The 23,466-nt window shown below is 37.0% G+C and overlaps 1 protein-coding gene and 1 long non-coding RNA gene across 9 annotated transcripts in view; one reads left to right on the forward strand and one right to left on the reverse strand.

The window, feature by feature from the left end:
- Window positions 1-607: 607 nt before the first annotated feature.
- Window positions 608-23,466, reverse strand: part of AADAT (aminoadipate aminotransferase) — a 34,071-nt gene continuing 11,212 nt past the window's right edge. For all 8 annotated transcript variants that reach the window (XM_047415763.1, XM_006714231.3, NM_001286683.1 and 5 more), the window contains 10 exons: window positions 18,895-18,969; window positions 13,522-13,731; window positions 10,973-11,038; window positions 9,534-9,616; window positions 8,977-9,073; window positions 7,713-7,774; window positions 6,800-6,864; window positions 5,105-5,211; window positions 2,278-2,379; window positions 608-1,355 (listed from right to left, as the gene is read on the reverse strand). In XM_047415763.1, the coding sequence (XP_047271719.1) occupies window positions 1,314-1,355; window positions 2,278-2,379; window positions 5,105-5,211; window positions 6,800-6,864; window positions 7,713-7,774; window positions 8,977-9,073; window positions 9,534-9,616; window positions 10,973-11,038; window positions 13,522-13,731; window positions 18,895-18,969 (909 nt within the window). In that variant the 3' untranslated portion in view covers window positions 608-1,313. The remainder of the gene's footprint in view (window positions 1,356-2,277; window positions 2,380-5,104; window positions 5,212-6,799; window positions 6,865-7,712; window positions 7,775-8,976; window positions 9,074-9,533; window positions 9,617-10,972; window positions 11,039-13,521; window positions 13,732-18,894; window positions 18,970-23,466) is intronic.
- On the forward strand, window positions 3,116-7,092 carry LOC107986326 (uncharacterized). Its single transcript, XR_001741918.2, has 2 exons — window positions 3,116-3,315; window positions 6,758-7,092. It is a non-coding gene; the product is annotated as an uncharacterized LOC107986326 (long non-coding RNA).

Genomic DNA, 23,466 nt, shown 5'->3' on the forward strand with positions numbered 1-23,466 from the left:
TGAGAATTTTAGCTGTTGAAAGATGTAACATCTCATCCAGACGTGCAGGAAAATAATAACTGTGATGGAGATGTTTATATACACAAGGGATGGCATAAATGATAATGACATAAACTTCCTAATTCCGCAAAGATACTTACAACTTTACAATTATTGGGTCATAGGACACTTCGTCAATTTGTTAAACAGAAAATGAATAGAAAATGAATACAGGGTATTTATGATACACTGTCACAATGAGATCCTATTCTAGATATTACATGTGTATGCAGAGAACATTGCAAAGGAAGCATGCTAAATGCTTATAGCAGTTATCACCAGGGGTGAGACAGTGAGTGGCTTTTACTTTATTCCTTATACATTCTGGATTGTTTGAAAATTCTAAAATGAGCATATCTTACTTTAATAAAGATTTTAAAAGGTGAGAAAAAAATAGTTAAAAAATATTTCCTAATACCTTAAAGGGTTGTAGTAGATTTAAATTACATAATTGATAAGAATGTATTTTTGTAAATTATGTAGTATTATGAAAATACAATGTAGTAAATTTTCCTAAGTCCATGATCTCCCCTCCTTACTTAGAATTAATGGGTCTGATGCCTTTAGGTATGTTTAGTTTAAGAATTTTATTTTAAAGGAATTTCTGTGGCATAACATAAGGTTTATGGTACTTTTACTAAAAGTCACTTATAATGACCAAATTATAACAATTTTTGCAATAAGCTCTCATTAAATTTTCCTAAAAGTAGAAAAAGTACACATTATATACCATTTTGCACTTAATTACTTCTTTAAAATCTCAAAATAATTCAGTGTAAAATGTTAGTTTCAAAGACAATTTATGGGAAATTACAAAGCAACTACAAAGTTCTTCATAATAAATCCAAGATAAAAGTAACTTTTTACAGGTTGAAAGTTTTTCAAAATGCCTAAGTGGATTATAAATACAGTTTGGCCATCTGATGAATTTAGAGGCACTTTAAAAGGTGTCTAGTTGAACTACTACAGATAGGACATGTTTGAGGAAATTTAATCTTTAAGTCTAATACCAGTGTTCATTTCTTCCTGCCAAAACAAGAAATTTATTGGAAAAATCCATGAGCAGCATGATTAGTTTGATTTCTTTCTCTTTTTTTAGAGACAGGGTCTTGTTCTGCCATGCAGGCCAGAGTGCATGCAGGCCAGAGTGCAGTGGTGTGATCGTAGCTTACTGCAGCCTTGAATTCCTGGGTTCAAGTGATCCTCCCTCCTCTGCCTCCCAAAGTGCTGGGATTATAGGTGTGAGCCACCATGCCCAACCTAGTTTAATTTCTTCATAAAGATTCTTTTATAAGTTGTGCTAATACCTGGAAGGCCTAAAACAGAAAAAAAAAATTAGAATTAATTAAATTAGGATACTATATTGGAAAACTCTGTAATAACTTTAAAAATCCAAACAAAGAGTATCTGTCTAAGGTTGAGAGAAGGCATTGAAAAGTCAAGTTTAACATCAACTTTATCTGTGCAGGATGCCATCAATTTCTATTAAAATATGAAGACTGAAGTACATCAGATTTTCAGGATTTTGTTGTTGTTGTTGTTCTCGTGGCCTTCAAGATCATTTTCCATTTTATCCATAACATGGATTATTTTAGATTTTACATAATCTCTCACCTGCATTTTATATAGATTCAATTGCCCAACTCCACTAATACATTAAAACAGAGAGACCTTATGAAAAACACATTTAATGACATGAGAAAGCAAGTAAATAAAGAACATGCCAAAAATGTCCCTTTCCAAGGATAAATATAAACTCTTCTCAAGGTTAATGGCACTGTTCAATTTATAGCTCTTCTGTTTGATTTCCACATACACAGCTTATTTTGGTTAAAGCTAGATTGTGATTCAGAATATTATTCTATTTGACCCTTGCTGATACTTTTTTCTTCAGAGAAAGTGACAGCCATCATGAATTTGTACTTCTGGCTCATGTTAATTCAATAAAGGAAGGAAAGAAGTTTTCCTCATAACATGACAATTTACGCAGCTCAGTAGGTTGTGATACATTATTCATGCAGACAATAAATTTTAACTCCAATTTAGTCTCATTTCTATAGAAGTCTAGCAACAAAGTAAAATGGGTCTTTTAATGATAGTTCATGACTGGTCAACAAATATCTGAATTTTAGAAACCCAAACAGATATTAAGTAATATTCTAATTCACAAAGTATACACGTGCATTAAAAAAACAGAACTGCTAGCTAGTGTTACTCTGAGGAGAATACTACACTCACCACATCCATCTGTTCTGGAGAAGCTGAAGAGAAGGATGCTCTCAAGTAAGGGCTAGGAGCTGAGCTATCGACGTAGAAAGCATTTCCAGGGAGCATTAATACCTAAGAGAGTTTGTGGAAGATAAGTAATGTACCACTAAAGAAAAACTCAAAGATAATATAGTTAAGCCTAATCTCAGAGTAGGGAAGGATGTTTTAAGTTTAAAAGCAGTTAAAGAAATCACAAGAAAAAATACTAATTTATATAAAAATTGCGTATGTCATACAATGAACAAAACTAAACACATAGAAACTGAAAAAATGTTCAGAATCAATATGGCAAATGCTATCTCTTCTCAAAACATCAGGAATACACGAAAACTGAGAACACTCAAATTTCAGCTTTAATGTAGAAAGGACAGCTTCCTAAAGAAAGATAAATGGTAATAAATACAAACAAATGTTTAATCTAACTAGAAAAGTAATTTTTAAGTTAATAAGTCTGAAAGTTACTTTTAAGCTGGGGCCTGAAAGATAAATTACATCAGGCAAAAAGCAGGGAGCAGTATTTGAGGGCAAAGATACACAGAGTAAAGGCCCTGAGATGGGAAGAAAATTGCTGCATTCAAAGAACTGAAAGGAGGTAAAAAATGTAATGTATAAAATGAAGAAATAAAAGTATTAAATAAGCGTGTCAAGATGGGGTGGTCGGAACAGCTGCTGTTCTTGATGGCCACACAGGCAGACAGCTCACTGACTGTAAGCTCCATTTCCTCTTCTTCCTGGGCATCACATGTACCCTATTCCCCGGCCTCTTTCTAGCTGTGTGTGACCATGAGAGCGAATCCTAATCAATGGATGTGAGTAGAAGCCAGGTAAGAGATGTCTAAGGTTGGCCCATACAAATCATCCCATGTGTGATCTGCCATGCTCTTTCCATTTTGTAGCCATCTTGGAATCTGTGTGTTGAAGAATGAAAAGCAATGAGATGTAAGAAACCCGGGTCTCTGAATCACTGTTGGAACACAGAGGGTTGCAGGTCACATCTTAGAATTATATGTGAGTCAGAGATAAATTTCTATTGCTTATTAAGTCTTTGAGATTTTCAAGTTTATCTTCTGTGGTGGTTAGGGTTGACTAGTATAATCATGATCTTCAACAGCATTGAGTAACTGCTTGTTACACTGTCTGCTAAGACAAGAGGAGTTGGGAGTGATATGATTTGGAGTACTCTGGGCAAAAGATTTCAAGGCAGAAGATGGGTTTCTCTGTCCTGGTTGAAAATAAAATGAAAACCATCATTTCTCTCAGTAGCATGGAAAAGTTCTGGGATGTACTAGAAGCAAGGAGCTGAAAGAGAAGGGAGTGGTGGTAATCTCTTCACAAGATAACCAACATCTGGGCTGACAAAGTGGGGATAAAGCTGGAGATTATTTAGAAAAGGTAAAAAAAGAACATGTAGCAGGATATATGGGATAAATGAAGAGGACTGAAGAAGAGTAGAGTAAAAACAAAGTCTATATCCTTAGCGCCTCGCTTAGACATACCTACAGATAACCACTTACCACATATTTTGAGGATAATGGCATTGACAGAAAAGAATGTATCAAATTGATTTATTATACTACAATGCATTTATTTGAAGTAAGTCAATTGTTTATCAAGTACCTACTATGTGCTGTGATTAGGGTTAGAACAATTAATGAAGTCTGAGTCCTGCCCTCAAGTAAGATGGCTAAGAGAGGATAATAGCTTTCCCAAGGTGGTGGAGGTAGGACTGAAGTCCAGGCAGTCTGTCTCTAGCTCTAACTTCTAGAGCACCTTGTCTCTTATGCACCAGCATGGCACTTTGCCATCATCAATCCAATCTGTCCTTTAGTTCTTATGATTCAAGACAAAAGTGAATCTAGCAGTAGGGTTTCAGTGTGTATAAAAGACTGACAAACATGCAAATGGCTTTAATTAATGGAGAAGGAATAATTTATCTGGTAAACTGGAAAGCTACACAGAAAAATATTTAGAATTTTCAGCTTACTTGATGCCTCCAATGAAACCTAAGTAGATTTATAATTTAAATATAAAAAGAGGAAAAAAAAAAGAAACCTAGAATACATTCTATGAGCTAATTTTAAGTGAAAAAAAAATCAGGATACAAACTTTTCTGTATAATTTTAACTATGTAACATAAGTGCACAGCCAAAATACTGTAAGAACAAGCTTTTCAAGGAACTATACTATAAATGGTCACAAAATCTGGGTAGTAAAATCATGGGCTATTTAAAAAATTTTCATTATGCTTTTATACATTTTCCAAATATCCTACCACGAGTATACTTTATCTCCATCATCAGAAAACAAACCCTTCATTTTAAATACTAGTGGCTAATACTTACTGAGCACTGAGTATGTGCCACATACTAGTCTAAGGGCTTTACATATATTAACTCACTTAATCATCAGAGCAACCCTATGAGAGAGGGATTCTTATTACCTCTGTTTTACAGACAAAGCACAGAAAGGGTAACCTATTCAAGGCCACACATCCCCTAAGGGGTGGTGCTGGGATTCAAACCCAACAGGTGTGGCTCCGGAGACTACCCTCAGCCACTACGCTAATCAGTAGCTGAGATGAACAACTATATTTCCACTAATTTAGACCAGCTGGATAATTACGTAACCCAAAAACCTCTTACGATTTTGATAATGCAATAAAATATCTAATATTAGAACATTATGAGTTGGCTGGTGGGCAACAAGAAACATTTCTTTCCATTCTATTCAAGCAAAATATTAAAGAAAAAGTATAACTTTTCCTTAGGTTTCCCAGCCCTTCACCTCCCAGTTTTACCCCCATCTTAACGGCCTTTTCTTCAATCAGTTCTTTTACATCATTAATGCCTTTAACTTTAATCCATAAAAACATTCCAGCAGCAGGAACATGCCATTCTGCCAAACCTACAAACAAAAGAAGAGAATAAATGTCTTCCAAAGGAAGGCATTTTTGATGATATCAAAGTGTGTTGTTAAATGGCATAAGTATAGTAAGTAGAAACTAGTATTCCTAAAAAAGTTCCTTCAATTATAGCATTTTTAAAAATATCATTTTGTGAGCCTTCAAAATTGATGTTCTGGGTTTTATTTCAAAGAGTTACTGTGGGTGAGGGAAGAAGGGAGGGGTAGGGTGGGCAAGTGAATAGCTCGCGTGTGCGTATTTACAATGTAGTCAGTCTTAGGGTAGTGCAAGAAATCCCACTCCTCTCTCCTTCACTTAGAACCATACCTAGACAAACATGGCTATTTCAATTTAGAAGAGGATTCTTCCATTATTTGTGGATTCTTCCAGCATTACAACAAATCCTAGTATTCTTGTAATAGTTTAGATGTCCAGTGGATTAGCGTTTTTATCAGAATGTAATTAATTATGAAAAGAAATACTTAAAATTCAAGAATTCCAGAAGCAGTTGTGGGCTTTACGTTTCATTGAGTATTAGGATAGAGAAATCAAAAACAAGCATAATGATCTTTGATTTAAATTACTATCTTTTTAAAAAAAGAACTTGCTGTTGATTCAAAGTTTTTCTTCAGTACTATTATGCAAAGTGGTAAAATAATGCTATTGTCAGAAAGATACTAATTCTGTTTTTTTTTTTTTGGATGGAGTTTTGCCTCACCCAGGCTGGAGTGCAATGGCATGATCTTGGCTCACTGCCACCTCTGCCTTCCAGGTTCAAGTGATTCTCCTGCCTTAGCCTCCGAAGTAGCTGAGATTACAGGTGCCCGCCATCACGCCCAGCTAATTTTTATATTTTTAGTAGAGATGGGGTTTCACCATGTTGGCCAGGCTGGTCTGGAACTCCTGACCTCAGGTGATCCACCCACCTTGGCCTCCCAAAGTGCTGGGATTACAGGCATGAGCCACTGCACTCAGCCACTAATTCTGTTTTTACCAAGACTTTATAGAAAATAAGATAGGACAGAAATAAGGAATTGCTATTTTTGGTTTACTATTATTTATATCAAAGGCATTTTAATAATATAATTAAAGCCATATGATTAATTTGACCTTCATAATAAAAAAAGAATCTAAAACATTTTGCAATCAAGTTAGCAATAGATAATACTACAGAGATAAATGAGGTTAATGATTAGAAGGCAAATAATTTGTCAGTAAGACATCTGCCTTTGTACAGCTTAGTTAGAGAAGCATGGTTTGACAATTTTACCCTTTGGGGTAAAATTCTGAAATAACTAAAATTTTTGAAAATAGATATTATTAAGCTTTAAGTAAGTTAGTGATTGATTTTTAGATCTTTTTTTTTTTAATCACAAATTCTTTGCAGCAGACAGGTAAAGTGGATAGGAAGGTCTGTGCCCAGGTTTATCAAATGTTGCTTCTGAGATGATTTATGGTGTAATGTTTCCTTGGCAAGAATACTCCTGGACTGTTTCTTTTCCACCAGGATTGTTAGTAATATTCAGTGTTTATCCCCTACTTTTACAGATGCTACTGTTTATCATGAGGACGAATATACGTTCCACTCACCAGTTAACCACTTGTCTGCAGCTGCCAGTATTGCATCCTTCTGGTTACTATAGAAATCAATAACCCTAGAAAAAGAAAACAATGAAATGGATGTGCTCAGTACATTGATTGCAGAAGCAAAACAGTCTCCAGAGTCCAGGCTATAAGAATTTGTTTTCTATCTTGATTAAAATGTTGAATGCTTGATAGAAGAATGGAGCATATTTGTTTCACTTGTCTGGTGAAAAACTTTTAACTGCTGTGTTTTTTCCTTCATTGTAGAATAATTACAAAATAAAAATTCATAAAGAGAAGTCCATTTCTATGTAAAATATGGAACCTAGAAGTAGCAGGATCAATCTTTGTGTTTAGTTGTCTAAATACTGGTTCTCATCACTCAGGATAAAAGACAATACTATTGAAATAATGAATCACCGGTCTGGGAATGCGAATACCCCATTCCTCCTTATTTCTAAATGTCCTAGGAGGTACCATATTTACACAGCTAAAGTAATCCATAACTTGTACCAATATACAGACTATTTAGGGAAATTATGTTCACCTTCATCTTTACTTGAGCCAAATCCCGTGTCATGTATCCTTCACAATTAATCATTATTAAATAAAATATTTATATGTATGAAGTTTACCCATTACATCATTTAAGTAAGTAAATCTTAACCTGGTGGGAATTTTGGACTACCTTAGGAGTGGGTGGACACTGCTTTCAAACCACACCTTGGATGCTGAGAAGACTTGCTAGGTGAAGAACTAACAAAATGAATAGACTTTTGACTTATAATAGACCGTTCCTATTGTCTCTCCTTTCCGAGGATACTTAGGAAGGAAGAATAAATCAATACTGTAGGTGATCTGTACTATGTTCACTGGGCTCCTGTTTTGTTCATAAATATTTAAAGAAATGATACAATACCTGTCTACATGAGCCATGAAACCTTCTTCTCCCCATTCGTGTAGAAGCTGTGATATCATGAGCTAAAAGAGATAAAATCATAAATACCATGTTTCATCCCCTGAAAATGTACTTTTTGCCATATATAAAAGCAACTCACTTTTGATTACATGTAAACCACAATAAGATATAACAAGCTGAGCCTAGCTTATATAGTCAGTGATTTAAAACAAATGTCAATTAATAACAATGATAATACTAGTAAAAATAACAAATATTGATATACTATTTGTTATGTAGCAGGCACTGTTGTAAGATACTAATATATTTTACCAAATGTAATCTCTATAAATTTCTATTTTACTAATGAGGCACAAGGGTTAAGTTAACTTTTCTGAGTCCCACAGCCTGAAATCAGTCAGGCTATCCAGCTCCTGACCCGCGCTGTTAATTGCCATACTGTACTGCTTCTCTAAATATAAAAATGTACAGTAGATGTGTAAAGTTACATGACATATTTGGAGATTTTCTATTTAAAATAGAAGTTCTAGGCTGGGTGCGATGGCTCATGCCTGTAATCCCAGCACTTTGGGAGGCCCAACAGGGGTGGATCACCAGAGGCCAGGAGTTAGAGACCAGCCTGGCTAACATGGTGAAACTCTGTCTCTACTAAAAATACAAAAATTAGCCGGGCATAGTGACGTGTGCCTGTAATCCCAGCTACTCGAGAGGCTAAGGCAGGAGAATCGCTTGAACCCGGGATGCAGAGGTTGCAGTGAGCCAAGGTCATGCCACTGCACTCCAGCCTGGGTGACAGGGCAAGACTCTGTCTCAAAAAAAAAAAAAAAAAAAAATTAAAATGTTATAAATTGATAGTGAACGTCTGTTGATAACAGATACAAAAAATATGAAAAAAAGTCTCCAACTTGGTAAAACATGGGGCCATCTGCACTTTATGGAACATACAATATCAAACAAGTGTCCTATTCTACACAAACTTTTCTATTCTATTCATATTCTTGCAACCTGAGAGGTTGTGTTACAGACGGATCCAATAATTTCTCAAAGTTTGTAAGGAAATTTACACATTCTCTTAAATTAAGTTTACTTTATTTTAATTAAAATGCATTCCAACCCATTTCTTTAGAAAGATTAGCATGTCTGCAAAGAAGGCAAACTATGAGTCACTAAACAGGTTTGGAGTTCCTGTGCTCTACCATCTATTATTTTTTTAAAATTCTAATCTGATTACAAAAAAAAAATCGATTTCCTAAATTGTCCTTACCTGGTTAAAAGTGCTGGGGTGCAATGTTGAAACTTGTATGTGTAAAATAACTCTCTCTATTAAGGGTTTTGGACCAGTTAAAAATCCTATTCTCAACCTACGTGGAAAGAGAAAAGGCACGATACCAATTCCATATTAACAATTAATACATATCACTTTCCTGATTTCATTAGACAGACAATTGTGACCTGGGGACAAAAGGATCTAGATAATTAAAACATTCTAATAAAACTAACTACTTCTTATTTCAAAAACAAATTTAAGTGTACATTTAAAACAAGATCGACTACGTATTTCGAAATGTGCCCTTTCATACCTGATATCAAAAACCTGACTGGTCCGACTACAACTTTAGATAAACAGCCAAGAATCTTTGACTATTGCAGGTGAATAAAGGGAAAAAAAGGCCTGTGTTAATATTAATCATGAAACTGGTATTTTAAGACAAGTAGACTACAAGCATTTTAAGTGAAAAAAATTGTCTAGACTAAAAGATACTGAGGTACTATCTCTGGCTCTATTAGATCTAGCGTCAAGTTAGAGACACAGGGCCTTACCCAGAGGAAATGATTTTTGAAAAAGAGTCAGCTCTGATGACACGTCCATCAACATCCATGGAAAGAAATGTTGGTACCCTGAACTTAAAATGAAAAATAAAAAATACTGTTGGTCTGAAAGCTCTGTTAGTCACTGTACGATTATTTTGAATAGAGAGTAGAACAGGAGATGGATTTGGATAACAACAGTACAAATATTCTCTTACCTTTATTTCAACCCTTTAACATGGAATAACAAACAAAGATGCAGATTCTTTTATTAGCATCTGCTTGTCTTCATGGCTTTTCTGCCAAAAACACACACAAGGGCTTATTATTTGCTCCAGATGCCATTATTATGAACTTAAGGAAACTTCAAACAGGCCCTCTTTGCCCCAGAGGTTGAAATCCAGGATTAACAGACTTACAGGAGGGACTCAAGAAACACTAGTTTGAACAAGACCATAATGAGGATGGCCAGCAGCACTGAAGGGTGTTCAGAGAGAGAACGCTGATCCTTAGGACCGACAGAAAGAAAAATGATGAGAATGAAGATGAGAAATTAGTCAACATGAAAGACTGACTTCAACATTTACTTTAAAAGTAGCTACAAATGAGAAAGGAAATTTGCTGGCATGCTGATGGTGGGAGGCAGGAGGCAAAAGTGATGTTTTAGGAAACCCTGTAGAGAAATCAAGAGTTCTTATCTCTTCCCAGTATATTTAAGGGCAAGCTGAATCCAAGTATATGTTCTTTGCAGCCCTAAGAGCAAAGAAAGTGTTGGCTTTTGAAGAATCAGGCGTTGGTCTTAACATTATCATCATCTATCAGAAAAAAGTCATCATGAAAGGTAGCTCACATACATGATAGTGTGAGAATCAATCTAAATGCCCATTACTCTGCAGTAAGATCCAGGACATAAATGACAGGGTGGCAAATGTGGGATGCGCTGCCTGTGATGCCTCCTCTTGTGTCCATCGGGGATGCTGCTAACAGAGCACAGCCTCTTTCTCCTTCAGCTTGAGCACGGCTTCCTAATCCTTCTCATACATCATTCTAATCGGCCACCACCAAGACACAGAAGTCAACGGCCAAAGATGAAACTCAGTTCACATCCCTGGGTGATGTTTGAGGAGCTGTTAACTTGGATGTGGAGTTTAAGACGTCCATCAGCCCTGATTTACTCTGTTTGTCCCAGTGCCTGGTATAGAAAGCCAGCTACTATTTTGAAGGTAAGTAATTTCTGGAAAGAGCAGTAATACCAAAAAAGAAAGGTACTAATTCCATAATAAAACTGGAAGACTGAAAAGTAAAGTAGTAGCAAATTAATCATAATTGATTTATTTTCCATGTAAAAGTGGATTAGTTCTGACTCAGCAGTCAGCCTAATACCCAACACAGTGCAGTAACTTAAAACAACTTATCTTCTAATAGTGAAGTAAGTTCACATAATCACTTACCTTGTTAAACTGGAGAAAATAGTAAGGATCATCTTCTATTATGAGGAAATCATATTTTCTTGCAAGCTAAAAAAGGTTGAAGTAATTGTTTATTTCTTAATCTATTTATTTCTTAAAAGTTATCTAAAATTAAATTCATTTGGAATTATAATTCTTTGTACTCATTCAAGGAACTACTGTGTGTCTATTGTCTTAGACAACGAGGATAAAAAGAGGAACAAGGCATTAAAGGCTCTTATTCTCACAGAAGTTAGATTCCAGGGGGAAAGACAGAATATACATAAGCCTGTGGATCATGAGCAGAATAAACATTAGATGAGTGGTTTTATTTATTTTGTTTTTTTGAGACAGAGTCTCGCTCTGTCGCCCAGGCTGGAGTGCAGTGGCGCGATCTTGGCTCACTGCAACCTCTGCCTCCTGGGCTCAAGTGATTCTCCTGCCTCAGCCTCCTGAGTAGCTGGGATTACAGGCATGCACCACCACACCTAGCTAATTTTTGTATTTTTGGTAGAGATGGGGTTTCACCACGTTGGCCAGGCTGGTCTCAAACTCCTGACCTCAAGTGATCCACCTGCCTCAGCCTCCCAAAGTGCTGGGATTACAGGCGTGAGCCACTGCGCCCAGCTAGATGGGTGGCTTTTAAGTGCTGGGCAGAGCATTACAACAGGTGAGGGAGAGAGTGACAGGGTAGCTATTTCAGGTTCAATCACTGAGAAGGCCTTCCAGACCAGGTAATATCAGAGCTTAAAATGACAGGAAGGAGTCAGTTGTGCAAATATCAGAGAAGAATCTAGACTGAGGGATGAATGTGGGCAAAGGCCCCAGGATAAGCAAAACGCTTGACATGTTTAAGGGCTAAAAAGGACAGTGCGGCTGCCCCAAGTGCAGCAAGAAGAATGATAAGAGAGAAGGCTTGAGAACAGACCGACCGTGTTACCTAGCTCTGCAAGGCAGATAAAAGAATTTGGGCTTTATTTTAACTGCAAGGAGAAACCACCGGAGGGCTGTAAACAGGAGAACCCGGAGCCGGGCTTTATACTGACATTTCTGCAGGGACAGATGTGGCTGGCTGCTGTGTGAAGAGTGTGACTGGTTAGAGGGCAGGGCGAAATGCAGCTGGTGTAGTGAAGAAGGCATTGGAGGAGTCCAGTGAGGGCAGGCAGGGGCTCAGAAGATGGGGACAGTGATGACAACAGAGAAAAATGGATGGACTTGGATAAGCTCAGTGGTAGAGTCCACAGGAGAAGCAAGATGTGGGGGATGGGGGGCAAAGGAGGGAACGACAGGAATAAAGGGTAACCATTCATAGTTGCACTCTTTATGGAGATGGAGAATGTGAGAGGCTGTAGATCAGAGGTTTGGGGTGGGGCTGTGGAAAACCAGGAGTTCTATTTTGGGCATGTTAAGTGTGAAATGATTTTTAGACATCTCTGTGGAGGTATCAGCAGAAAGGTGGATACAGAAGCATAGGCCTCAGGGAAGAGGTAGGGGCCAGGCAATGTGCCGGTCATCGTGTACGTAATGGAATAGACAGCTACGAAACTGGACAAGGCTGTCTGGTGAGTATGTAAACAGAGAAGAGAACTTAGGACAGAGCCTGGAAAGTACAAACATAAGAACATGACTGTGTGTGTGTATGTGTGTGTGTGTATACGTGTGTTTATATAGATACATGTATATATATGTGTGTGTGTGTATATATATGTGTGTGTGTATATATATATATATATTTAGAGTTGGGGTCTTGCTATGTTGCACAGGCTGGTCTTGAACTCCTGGGCTCAAGCATCCTCCCACCTCAGCCTTCCAAAGTGCTGGGATTACAGGCGTGAGCCACTGCACCCAACCTGAGGCAATATTTTGAACCTAAAAATTTTCTAAGTAAAACGAACTGGCTGAAATCTTTCCTATGATTCCACTGGATGTGACTAAATTCTATAGAGTTTAACATGGGTTTGGTATTTATTTTAAAAAGCTATTTGTAGTGAAAGGTTGGGGACACAGTCAGGTACATAAAAAGAGACTTTCCAAAAAGCACATTTCTCTTATTTTTCAAAGATTTCTGGGGAGCTTAATATATGTTTGATACTTAAAAAAATGTTTATAGTGAAAAGCTAGGCATCATCGGTATCTCAAATAGATTTTATGAAAGGGGAGCATGCCTCTCATTTTTAAAGAATTCTTGGTAACCTAAGATGACAAGGAGTAGGAAGCAGAACAGACAAGTTAACAACACAGAAAATAATGGAAATCAAACTTGGGATAAAATATTAAATAATCTCAAAAAATTTAACATCAGGCCAAGAATGCTGTTTCTTTTATATTAAAACATCAATTATGGGGAAAGAAAAATCTCATAACTAATGAAAGATGCAGAAATTTATTGTGTCTAAATTTATTAGGACCCTGAGCATATATGATTTCCTTTTATTAAAAATTATATTCCTTGAAAGCAAAAGGCTAAGAAGAAAGGGAGCTTGCATAGTGCTCTTCTAAAAAGTCACAGAGAAACAGGAACACAACTACTTTAACCCATTCTTCTACAATACCTCATAGATTTCCTTTTTGCGTTCACTGGTTAATGAGTTTCCAGTAGGGTTGTTGCCATTTGGAACAGTATAAAGAAATTTGGGGGTGTTTTTCTGGGGATTCTTTGCATCTTCTGGTTTCCATCTGGAAAGTATGTCTCTTAGGGAATCTGGAACAATCCCACTTTCATCACTGGCAACATTAATAATGTTGCAGCCCAGTGGGTGCAGCTGTTGAGCACAAAAGAAAGCCTGAGTCAGTCATGATTACAAATGTAAGTGCTATTGGTTTTTTTTTTTTCTTTCTAACTAAGAACTTGCTCATTCATACCCTTAAAAATATATAAACCCGCAACCAGCTCTGAGCTCCTGAGGGTTGAGGTTACACATTTATTTATTTTTTTTTTTGAGATGGAGTCTCGCTCTGTCACCCAGGCTGGAGTGCAATGGCGTGATCTTGGCTCACTGCAACCTCCCTGGTTCAAGTGATTCTCCTGCTTTAGCCTCCCGAGTAGCTGGGGACTACAGGTGCACGCCACCACGCCCAGGTAATTTTTTGTATTTTTAGTAGCGATGGGGTTTCACCATGTTAGCCAGGATGGTCTGGATCTCCTGACCTCGTGATCCGCCCGCCTTGGCCTCCCAAAGTGCTAGGATTACAGCCGTGAGCTGCCACGCCCCTGGGGCAGATACCATTATTGTTCAAAAATACCTCCTGTCCCTTCCCAGAGAATTATATAATTCTTTCTTGCCCCGTTTACGTCAGGTATGGCCATGTGTCTTGCAGTGGGCAACAAATTCGGGGCAGAAGTGATGCATGTTCCTTCCAGTAAGAAGCTTTAAAATCCAGCTTGTGGTTGTCTATGTCTCTTTTCCCTCTGCTCTAAGATTGACCATGTTTCAGATAGAGATTGCTTCTGTCAATCTGGGGCTTAGAAGAAAGATGGCATGGAACTGAGCTCCAGCAGTCTTGTAGTGGATATGGAACGTAAGGGAAATAAAACTGTACTGGGGTCATTGGTTACAGCATAACCTAGCTTCTTCTGACGGAATTATCTTTTTTTCTGATTTTTCCTTTATTATTATTACTTTTTCAACTTTCATTTTAGATTCAAGGGGTACGTGTGCAGGTTTGTTACATGGGTATACTGCATGATGCTGAGGTTTGGGGTACAATTGCTCCTGTCACCCAGGTACTGAGCATAGTACCCAATAGGTAGTTTTTCAAGCCCTTGCCCCCTTCCTGACTCCCCCCAGCAGTCAGCCTCAGTATCTTTTGTTGACATCTTTATGTCCCTGATGAGTACCCATGAATTATCTTCATAATTATAATTATTACTGGTTTATGAAGTAGGCGTTTTACAAATGAATGTTTTTTGATAGAGTAAATCATATGTTTCATTTACTGTTGTGTTCATATATAAAACAGTCACAAGCAGAGGTGATATTAAAAATATTTAACAAGTGGTATAGCATGGGTATATCAGATACAGCGCAGCCTGGAATGGGGACCTGTAGGCCCCCTGTTATGCCGACATTAACTCTGGAACATGGGAGGTTCAGGGTGGTCCTAGGAGAGGGGTCAGGGAAGCCAGGGTAGTGGCGGGACACTGAATGGGATGAGCAGATCACCAGGCAGTACAGTAGAATTTCCATATTTTACCAATTGCTAAGGCTGAACTGGCTTGTACTGGCATTGCTTATAGACTTAGCTTTATACAAATTTGTGGAATCTCATTCATGGTTGAGCATTAAAAAGAAAAAAAAAGGAACTTAAGAAATAATAATTGAATGAGGTTCTAAAAAAATTGCAAATGAAAAGCAAACACTCTTTTAGCAGTCAAATGTAGAATTACGCATAAAAAAAGAACAATTCAGATCCTCCTTATGACAAATTTAAAAGGCCTTAACCTTATGAAGCACATCTACCATGAATAAAGCAAATCAATACTGGGCCATAAACTAAACACATACTGCTTATTAGCATATTTCCTCAAAGCTTGGCATACAGTTTCTGTTTTTCTGTTTGGGTATGTGAAAACATTTGTGCGTGTGTATATGCACGCTTTATATGTAGACACCGGTTTTACATTCATAGACATTATGTAATCTTAAATCTTAGGAGTTTAGGAAAACAAATTATGAGTATCCAATCATTGAGAAAAAGTAATTATTTTATTTTAGTTTTATTGTGGTAAAATTGTTGCCATTTTAAGCCTTTTTTGTTTGTTTTTTTAAGTGACAAGGTCTCACTTTGCTGCCTGGGCTGAAGTGCAGTGGTGCAATTATGGCTCCCTGTAACACCATGCTCCTGGGCTCAAGCAATCCTTACACCTCAGTCTTCTGCCTGGTTAATTAAACAAACAAAAAAAAGTTGTAGACATGTGCTTTGCTATGTTGCCCAGTATGGGCTCGAACTCCTGACCTCAAGTAATCCTTCAGCCTCAGCTGCCCAAAGTGCTGGGATTACAGGCGTGAGCCACCTCGTCTAGTCCATTTTAACTACTTTTAGGAGTACAATTCAGTGGCATTAATTACATTCACAATGTGTGCATCCATCACCTCTGTCTATTTCCAAAACTTTTTCCTCACCCCAAATAGAGACTCTGTACCTATTAATCAATAACTCTCCATTCTCTACTCTCCCCAGCCCCTGGTAACCACTCATCTACTTTCTATCTCCACTAATTTGTCTATTCTAGATGTTTCATATAATTGGAATAATACAATATTTGTCCTTTTGTGTCTGGCTTCTTAAAGTTAAAATGCTTTCAAGGTTCATCCATACTGTAATATGTATCAGATCTGTGTTCCTTCTTATGGCTGAATAATATTCCATTGTATGTATATACCACATTTTATTTATCCATTCATCCACTGATGGACACTTGAGTTGCTTCTACCTTTTGGCTACTGTAAATAATATTGCAATGAACATTTGTATACAAGTATCTGTTTGAGTCCCAGTTTTCAATCCTTTCTGGGTATATAGCCATGAGTGGAATTGTGGGTCACATGGTAATTATATTTTAATTTTCTGAGGAACTGACAAACTTTCCCACAGTGGCCATACCATTTTACATTTCCTTCCACCAGCAGTGAATGAACCCAGTTTCTTCACATATTCACTATTTTTTTTTAAATAATAGCCATCGTGGTATGTGTGAGGTAGTATCTCACAGTAGTTTTGATTTGCTTTTCTCTATTTAAAAAAATTTTTTCCCCAAGCCTGAGTCTTGCCAAATAATCAGACTGCAGGTACAGCAGTCACACATTGTAGAGTACTAACCACTACACGATCATGGAACTTGCGGCTTTCATACGTTGATTTATGTTGCTTTGCATTTCTCTACTAATGATGTTGAGCATCTTTTATGTGCTTATTGGCCTTCTGCACATGTTCTTCAGACTAATGTCTATTTAAGTCCTTTGTCCATTTTTAAATTGGGTTGTTTATCTTTCTGTTGTTGAGTTGTAGGAGTTCTTTATATGTTCTGGTTATTAAAGGTTTATCAGATATATTATGATAAATATTTTCTCCCACTGTATAGACTCTTTTTTCACTGTTTTCATAATGTCCTTTGATACACAACCACTTTTAAATCTTCAAGTTCAATTTATCTATTTTTGTGGTTGTCGTTGCTCATATTTTTGGTCATATCTAAAAAATCCACCAAATCTAAGGTCATAAAAATTTGCCCTTATGTCCTAAGTGTTTGTAGTTTTAGCCCTTATATTTAGGTCTTTGATCCATTTTGAGTTAAATTTTCATATGGTGTGAAGTAAGGGTCCAAGTTCTTTTATATGCATGTGGAAATCCAGTTGTCCCAGCACCACAGTTGAAGAGACTATCCTTTCCCCCACTGAATGATCTTGGCACCCTTACTGAAATCAACTGGATTTGTGGGTTTATTTCTGGATGCTCAGTTCTATTCTATTGGTCTATATGATTGTCTTTATGCCAGTACCACATTGTTTGATTACTGCAGCTTTGCAGTTTTGAAATTGGGAAGTGGGGGTCTTCCAAATTTGTTCTTTTTCAAGATTATTTTGGCTATTTAGGTCCTTTAAACTCACATCAATTTGAGGACTGGCTTTTCCATTTCTACAAAAAAGGCTGTTGGCATATCGATAGGGATTGTATTGAATCTGTAAATTGCTTAGGGTAGTATTAATATCTTAACAATATTAAGTCTTCCAATCTATGAACTGTGGAAGTCTTTCCATTTATTTGAGTTTTGCTTAATTTCTTTCAGCAAAATTTTTCAGTTTTTAATGTACAAGTCTTCCACCTCCTTTGTTAGATTTATTCCTACGTATTTTATTCTTTTGGATGCTATTACAAATGGAATTGTTTTATATATTGCTTTATATGTTGATTTTCATAAAAATAAAATAAAATTTGAAAAAAATAAAAGGATCCATGAAGTTGGAATCAATAGAGCATAAAAGTCATCGCATTGAATTCCCCTACTCTAAGCTAGAATTACTTTAGCCATATTTGTGTTAGGTGGCAGTCAAGAGTGACTGAGCACCTACAGTGATGGGCAATGTTGTAACCCATTATGAAGTCCGGTAAGGCCAATGGTTAGCAAGTTCTTATACAGAGCTGAAATTGTTTCCCTGTGGTTCCAGTTCTATTAACCTAAGGTCATGTACAAATAAATCTAATTCTTTTGTCACATGGCTAACTTCTATGTATTTGAGGACAGTTTTCATGCCTCTGTTGAGTCTTTTCTTTCTGGGGAAAATAGCTCCAGTTCCTACAACCATTCATCATATGATATGGCTTCCAATTCCCTATTTACTCTGACTATCTTTCTCTGAGTATGCTCCAGTTGTGGACATTTCTGTCTTAAAGTAGACTGCCCCAAACAAACCTAATGCTCAGCAATGTGCTCTGACCAGTGCAGAGCAGAGTCAGATCATCAGCTTCCTCATTCTGTAAATCACAGTTCCACGGATCTAACCTTGGAATGGAAAGTCGTCATTATACCATATAAGTATACTAAACTGACATATAACATAGTTGTACTTATGCATATGGTAATAAGATAGTAATAAAAAATAAATTTTTGTAATTTAAGTTACATTTCAAGTAAAATATTAAGAGAATTGGACATGATTTTGCATAATCTAATTTTAATGCCTATACACTTGGATTTCAAAAAAGAAATGTATAAAGAAGAGAATACATTTCACATACTTTGTATATATCCTTTAAGATTATCCTGCTTATGGATAAAATATGCTATTTCATTTTTCTGTGGACAGATTATTTTAAAGTTAATAAGATATTAACTTTATTATAATAAAGTTATTATAAAACCTTTATTATAAGTTTTCTTCTTATTTACTACAAGAGAGTTGCCTTTAGTAAAAATGTATACTCACACTTTGAAGAGTTCCTGAATAAGCAGGTTCATCTAGGAGGACATTATCTCCAGGATTAATGATCATTTCAAACACCTAACAAAAGAAGCATAGGTTAGCTTGTTAGTCAGCATAGGTTAGTACTGTTTCCATGCTCAGAAGCCCATTTTTTAGTTTGAGCTCACATGGTTCTAGAGTAAGAATTAGCAAATTGTTTATAAGGGGCCAAACAGTAAACACTTTGCGGGTCATAGTATCTCTGTTGCAACTACCCTGCAACTACTCTGCCTCTATAGTGAAAAAGTAGCCATAGACAATATATAAATGAATGGGTGTGACTGAGTTCCAATAAAACTTTATTTACAAAATTTGATGAAGGGCTGGATTTGGCTCTCAAACCATAGTTTGCCAACTCCTGTTCCAGAGAAAGGTGAACAGAGGTTTGGCTGCTAACATTCATTTATTCCTTTTATTGCTTCTTTGAAAATCTATTAAATGTTTACTATACGCCAGGCCTGTGTAAAGTGTCAGAGATAAAATAGCAAAATGACATGGTTCTTACTCTCATGGAGCTACTGGTCCACTGGGAAAGCTAGACACCAATTAAATAACTACCCAATAAATGTGCAAATTAAAAACGGTGGTGAGTGATATTAAGTACAGATGCACAATGACATAAGAGCTCATTGTAGGAAGACCTAGGCATTCAGGGAATTCAGGGAAGGCATCCTGGAGGAAGCGATGAGTTGGTGTACGGGGTAACAACAGTTAGATTTGAAAAACCAAAATAATTATGTGTCTTGAGGCAGAATGTAGAGAAAAGAGTGGTGTGACATCAGACAGAAGTGGGCAGAGACCAACCATGTAGGCATTTGAGCCAAGGGAGGCAAGTAAGGATTTTAGGAAGAGAGTGGGGAGGAGGAGTCACATGATTAGATACTCGTCTTGAAAAGATCAATCTGGCTGCAGTATGAAAGAATGAAAGAAGGGTGAGAATACATGTGGAAAGTTTAGAAAGTTTTTAGGATTGTTTGGGAAGTTACTGCCACAGGCCTGGAACAGGTAAGGGTCATCTTAAAGTAGAGTGGTGACAGAGGAATTGTAGAGAAGAACTGAGAGGTATTAGGAAATGAAAAGTAATGGAACATGATTATGGACAATAGGGAAATGAGGAAGAGGAGGTGTCAAGAATGATGCCTAGATACTTGGTTATGGAACTAGATAGATGGTGGGGGTGGTGCCATTCACTGAAACACATAACCAAAAAGCCATCCATATCTGAGTGACAGGATGATTTGTTTTAGTGTGAGGTGCCTTTGAAACACCCTGTGATGATGTCAGATGGATAGATGGACAAATGGATTTGGAAGGAGCCTGGAAGTTACTGGCATATGGTTGATCATGTGAATGTAAATGAAGATACCCAGGAAAAGTACATAGACTAAGGAGAGATGTTTAAGGACTGAGCTACAGGGAACTCCAATAAATAATGGCTGGGTAGAGGAGGACACTGCAAGGAAGGGAGGGAAAGTGGGCTGGAGGAGAACCACACAACATGCTACTGAGAGAGCTAGAGGAGGACAGTGTTTTCAAAAGGGTGGGGGAGACTTCCAGTTCCAAAATGGTGGTGTAGAAGCAAGTTGACTTCATTCCCTCCCACAAAACCACTAACAAATATACAGTGCTAAAATTTACACCAGAAACAACCCAGAACTCAAATATGAGGATGAGTCAGTTCCTAGGACTACAGAGAAGTGAAAAAACTCTGAACAGATGGTAAGAAAGGCATACTTCAGCATCTATGATACCCCTCCTCCCAATTCTGCCTGGCACCAAGCACGTGGAAAAACTCCCCCTAATTCACGGCTTCTACACTGGAAAAAGTGAGATTGAGGTGGCCAAGAGTTTTCCCCACCATCTTTGGTTCCCTGGCTGGAGACCTGTCCTTGCCTTTAACCCTTTGGAAGCATCATGACTGCCTGGAGGGAAAAACATCCCTGAGGACAGGCAGAGACAAAATCGGGAGGCAGGACTACCATCCCAAGCCCTGGAAACTCTGCACTGTAACTCAGCGAAAGGCATGCCAAAACAGAGTGACTGTTCAGCAGCACCACACTGCAGGAGGAATGTTCCAGAGGTTCCTGGGTATAATTCTTTTGCTAGCCATCTCATGCCAATGGAATAAATCCTTTGGGACCTCCCTGATTTGGGACAGGCTGTTCTCGAATTATTTACTAAACCTGGACTTAAGGTGCCACCTTGGAAGATGCCAACAAGGAAGCAGTGACCCAACAATAGAGATTTACTAAGCAAATATATCCAATAAAAAGCAAAGCAAGCCAGACAAATCAAACAAACAAACAAAACTAGAATAAATAACTAATCCTTTAATGCAAAAAACTGATGTATACATACAAGAAACAATAGCCAACAGGAAACCATGACCTCCCCAAAATGACAAAGCAAAAATCCAGTGACTGATCCTAACAAGATGGCAATTTGTCAGCTTTTTGACCAAAAATTCAAAATAGCAGTTTTAAGAAAACTCAGTGATCTTCAAGGTAACTCAGAACAGCAATTCAGAAATTTATCAGAGACATTTAACAAAGAGATTGAAATAATAAAAATAACAAAAAACCCCAGAAATTTTGGAACTGAGAAATACTGAACTCAGAATTGTTGAACTGAGGAACTCATTAGAGGCTCTCATCATCAAAATGGACCCAGCAGAAGGAAAAATAGGTAAGCTTGAAGATTGGCTACGTGAAAATACAGTCGGGGAAAAAAGAAAAAAGAACAAAGAGTGCCTACGAAATACAGAAAATTACCCCAAAAGACTAAATCTAAGAATCAGTGGTCTGCAAGAGGAAGGTGAGCAAAAGCAAGCAGTACAAAGCTTATTTAAAGAAATAATAACAGAAAAGTTTCTAAACGTGAGAGAGATAAATATCCAGGCCACAGAAGAAGGTCTGAGAACATCAAACAGATTCAATCCAAATAAAACTACCTCAAGGCATATAAGAATTAAACTCTCAAAGGCTAAGGACAAAGAGAAGATATGAGAAGCAACAAGACAAAAGAAGAAAATAATACATACATGAGCTCTAATTTGTCTGGCAACAGACATCTCAATGGAACTGTACAGGTCAGGAAAAAGAGAAATGACATTTTCAAAGTGCCCAAAGAAAAAAGCTGCTATCTAAGAATATACATATATTTTTATTGATTGATTGACTGAGATGGGGCCTCGCTATGTTAACCAGGCTGGGCTCGAACTCCTGGCCTCAAGCAATCTTCCCATCTCAGCCTCCCAAAGAGCTGGGATTACAGGCGTGAGCTACCATTCCCGGCCCATCCAAAAATATTGTACACTTGATCTTAGCCAAAAGGCCGAGAAGCGATCATCCAAGAATATTGTATCCAGCAAAATTATCCTTCAAATATGATGGAGAGATAAAGTCTTTCCCAGACAAACTAAAGCCGAGAGAATTTACCACCACCAGATCCATCTTACGAGAAATGCTAAAGGGAGTTCTCCAACCTGAAAGAAAAAAATACTAATGTGCAAAAGAAAACTTTTCAAGGTAAAAAATACAGTGGTAAAATTAAGTACATGGACAAACCCAGAATACTCTATGATTGTAATTATGGTGTGCAATCCACTCATAATTCTCATATGAAGCCTAAACGACAAATTGATCAAAAACAATAATAGCTACAGCAACATGTTAAGATAGGTAATATGTAAATTGAGACATCTCAAGCCAAAATGTGGGGGGAATGGAGTTAAAGAATAGAGGATTTTTTTATGTTTTTTGCATTTGTTTGCTTCTCCAAGATAAGTTGATCCAAGATAAGTTGTTACCTCTTTAAAATAACTTGTTATAAGATTTTTTTTTTGTAAGCCTCATGGTAACCACAGTACAAAAACTTATTATTGATTCACTAAAAATAAAGAGCAACAAATTATAAAATACTACCAGAGAAAATCACTTAACCACAAAGGAAGACAGTAAGAAAGGAAGAAAAGAAGAGAGGAGTCTCAAAACAACCAGAACACAAGCAACAAAATGCCAGTAGTAAGTTCTAACTTATCAATAATAACACTGAATGGAAATGGTCTACATTCTCCCATTAAAAGGCATGGAGTGGCTGAGTGGATAAAGAAACAAGACCCAATCATATGCAGCTTACAAGAAACCCACCTCACCTATAAAGACACACAGTCTGAAAATGAGGAGGTGGAAAAACATATTCCATGGAATTGGAAACCTAAAAAGAGTAGGTGTAGCTACACTTAGAAAAAATAGACTACAAACCTAAGATTGTAAAAAGAAACAAAGAAGGTCACTATATAATGATAAAGGGGTCAATTCAGCAAGATAATACAACCTCCCAAGTATACAAATATTAGTAAATTTAAAGGGAGAGATGGAATGTAATACAATAATAGTAGGAGACTTTTTAACATTTCACTTAGTAATGAACAGATTATCCAGACAGAAAATCAACATGAAGAAACAGTGAGATAAAACTACATACTAGATCTAATAGACCTAGTAGACAGTTACAAAAATATTCAACCAACTGCTG

The sequence above is a fragment of the Homo sapiens genome, chromosome 4 (genome assembly GCF_000001405.40).
Source record: "Homo sapiens chromosome 4, GRCh38.p14 Primary Assembly".
NCBI classification, from domain to species: domain Eukaryota; kingdom Metazoa; phylum Chordata; class Mammalia; order Primates; family Hominidae; genus Homo; species Homo sapiens.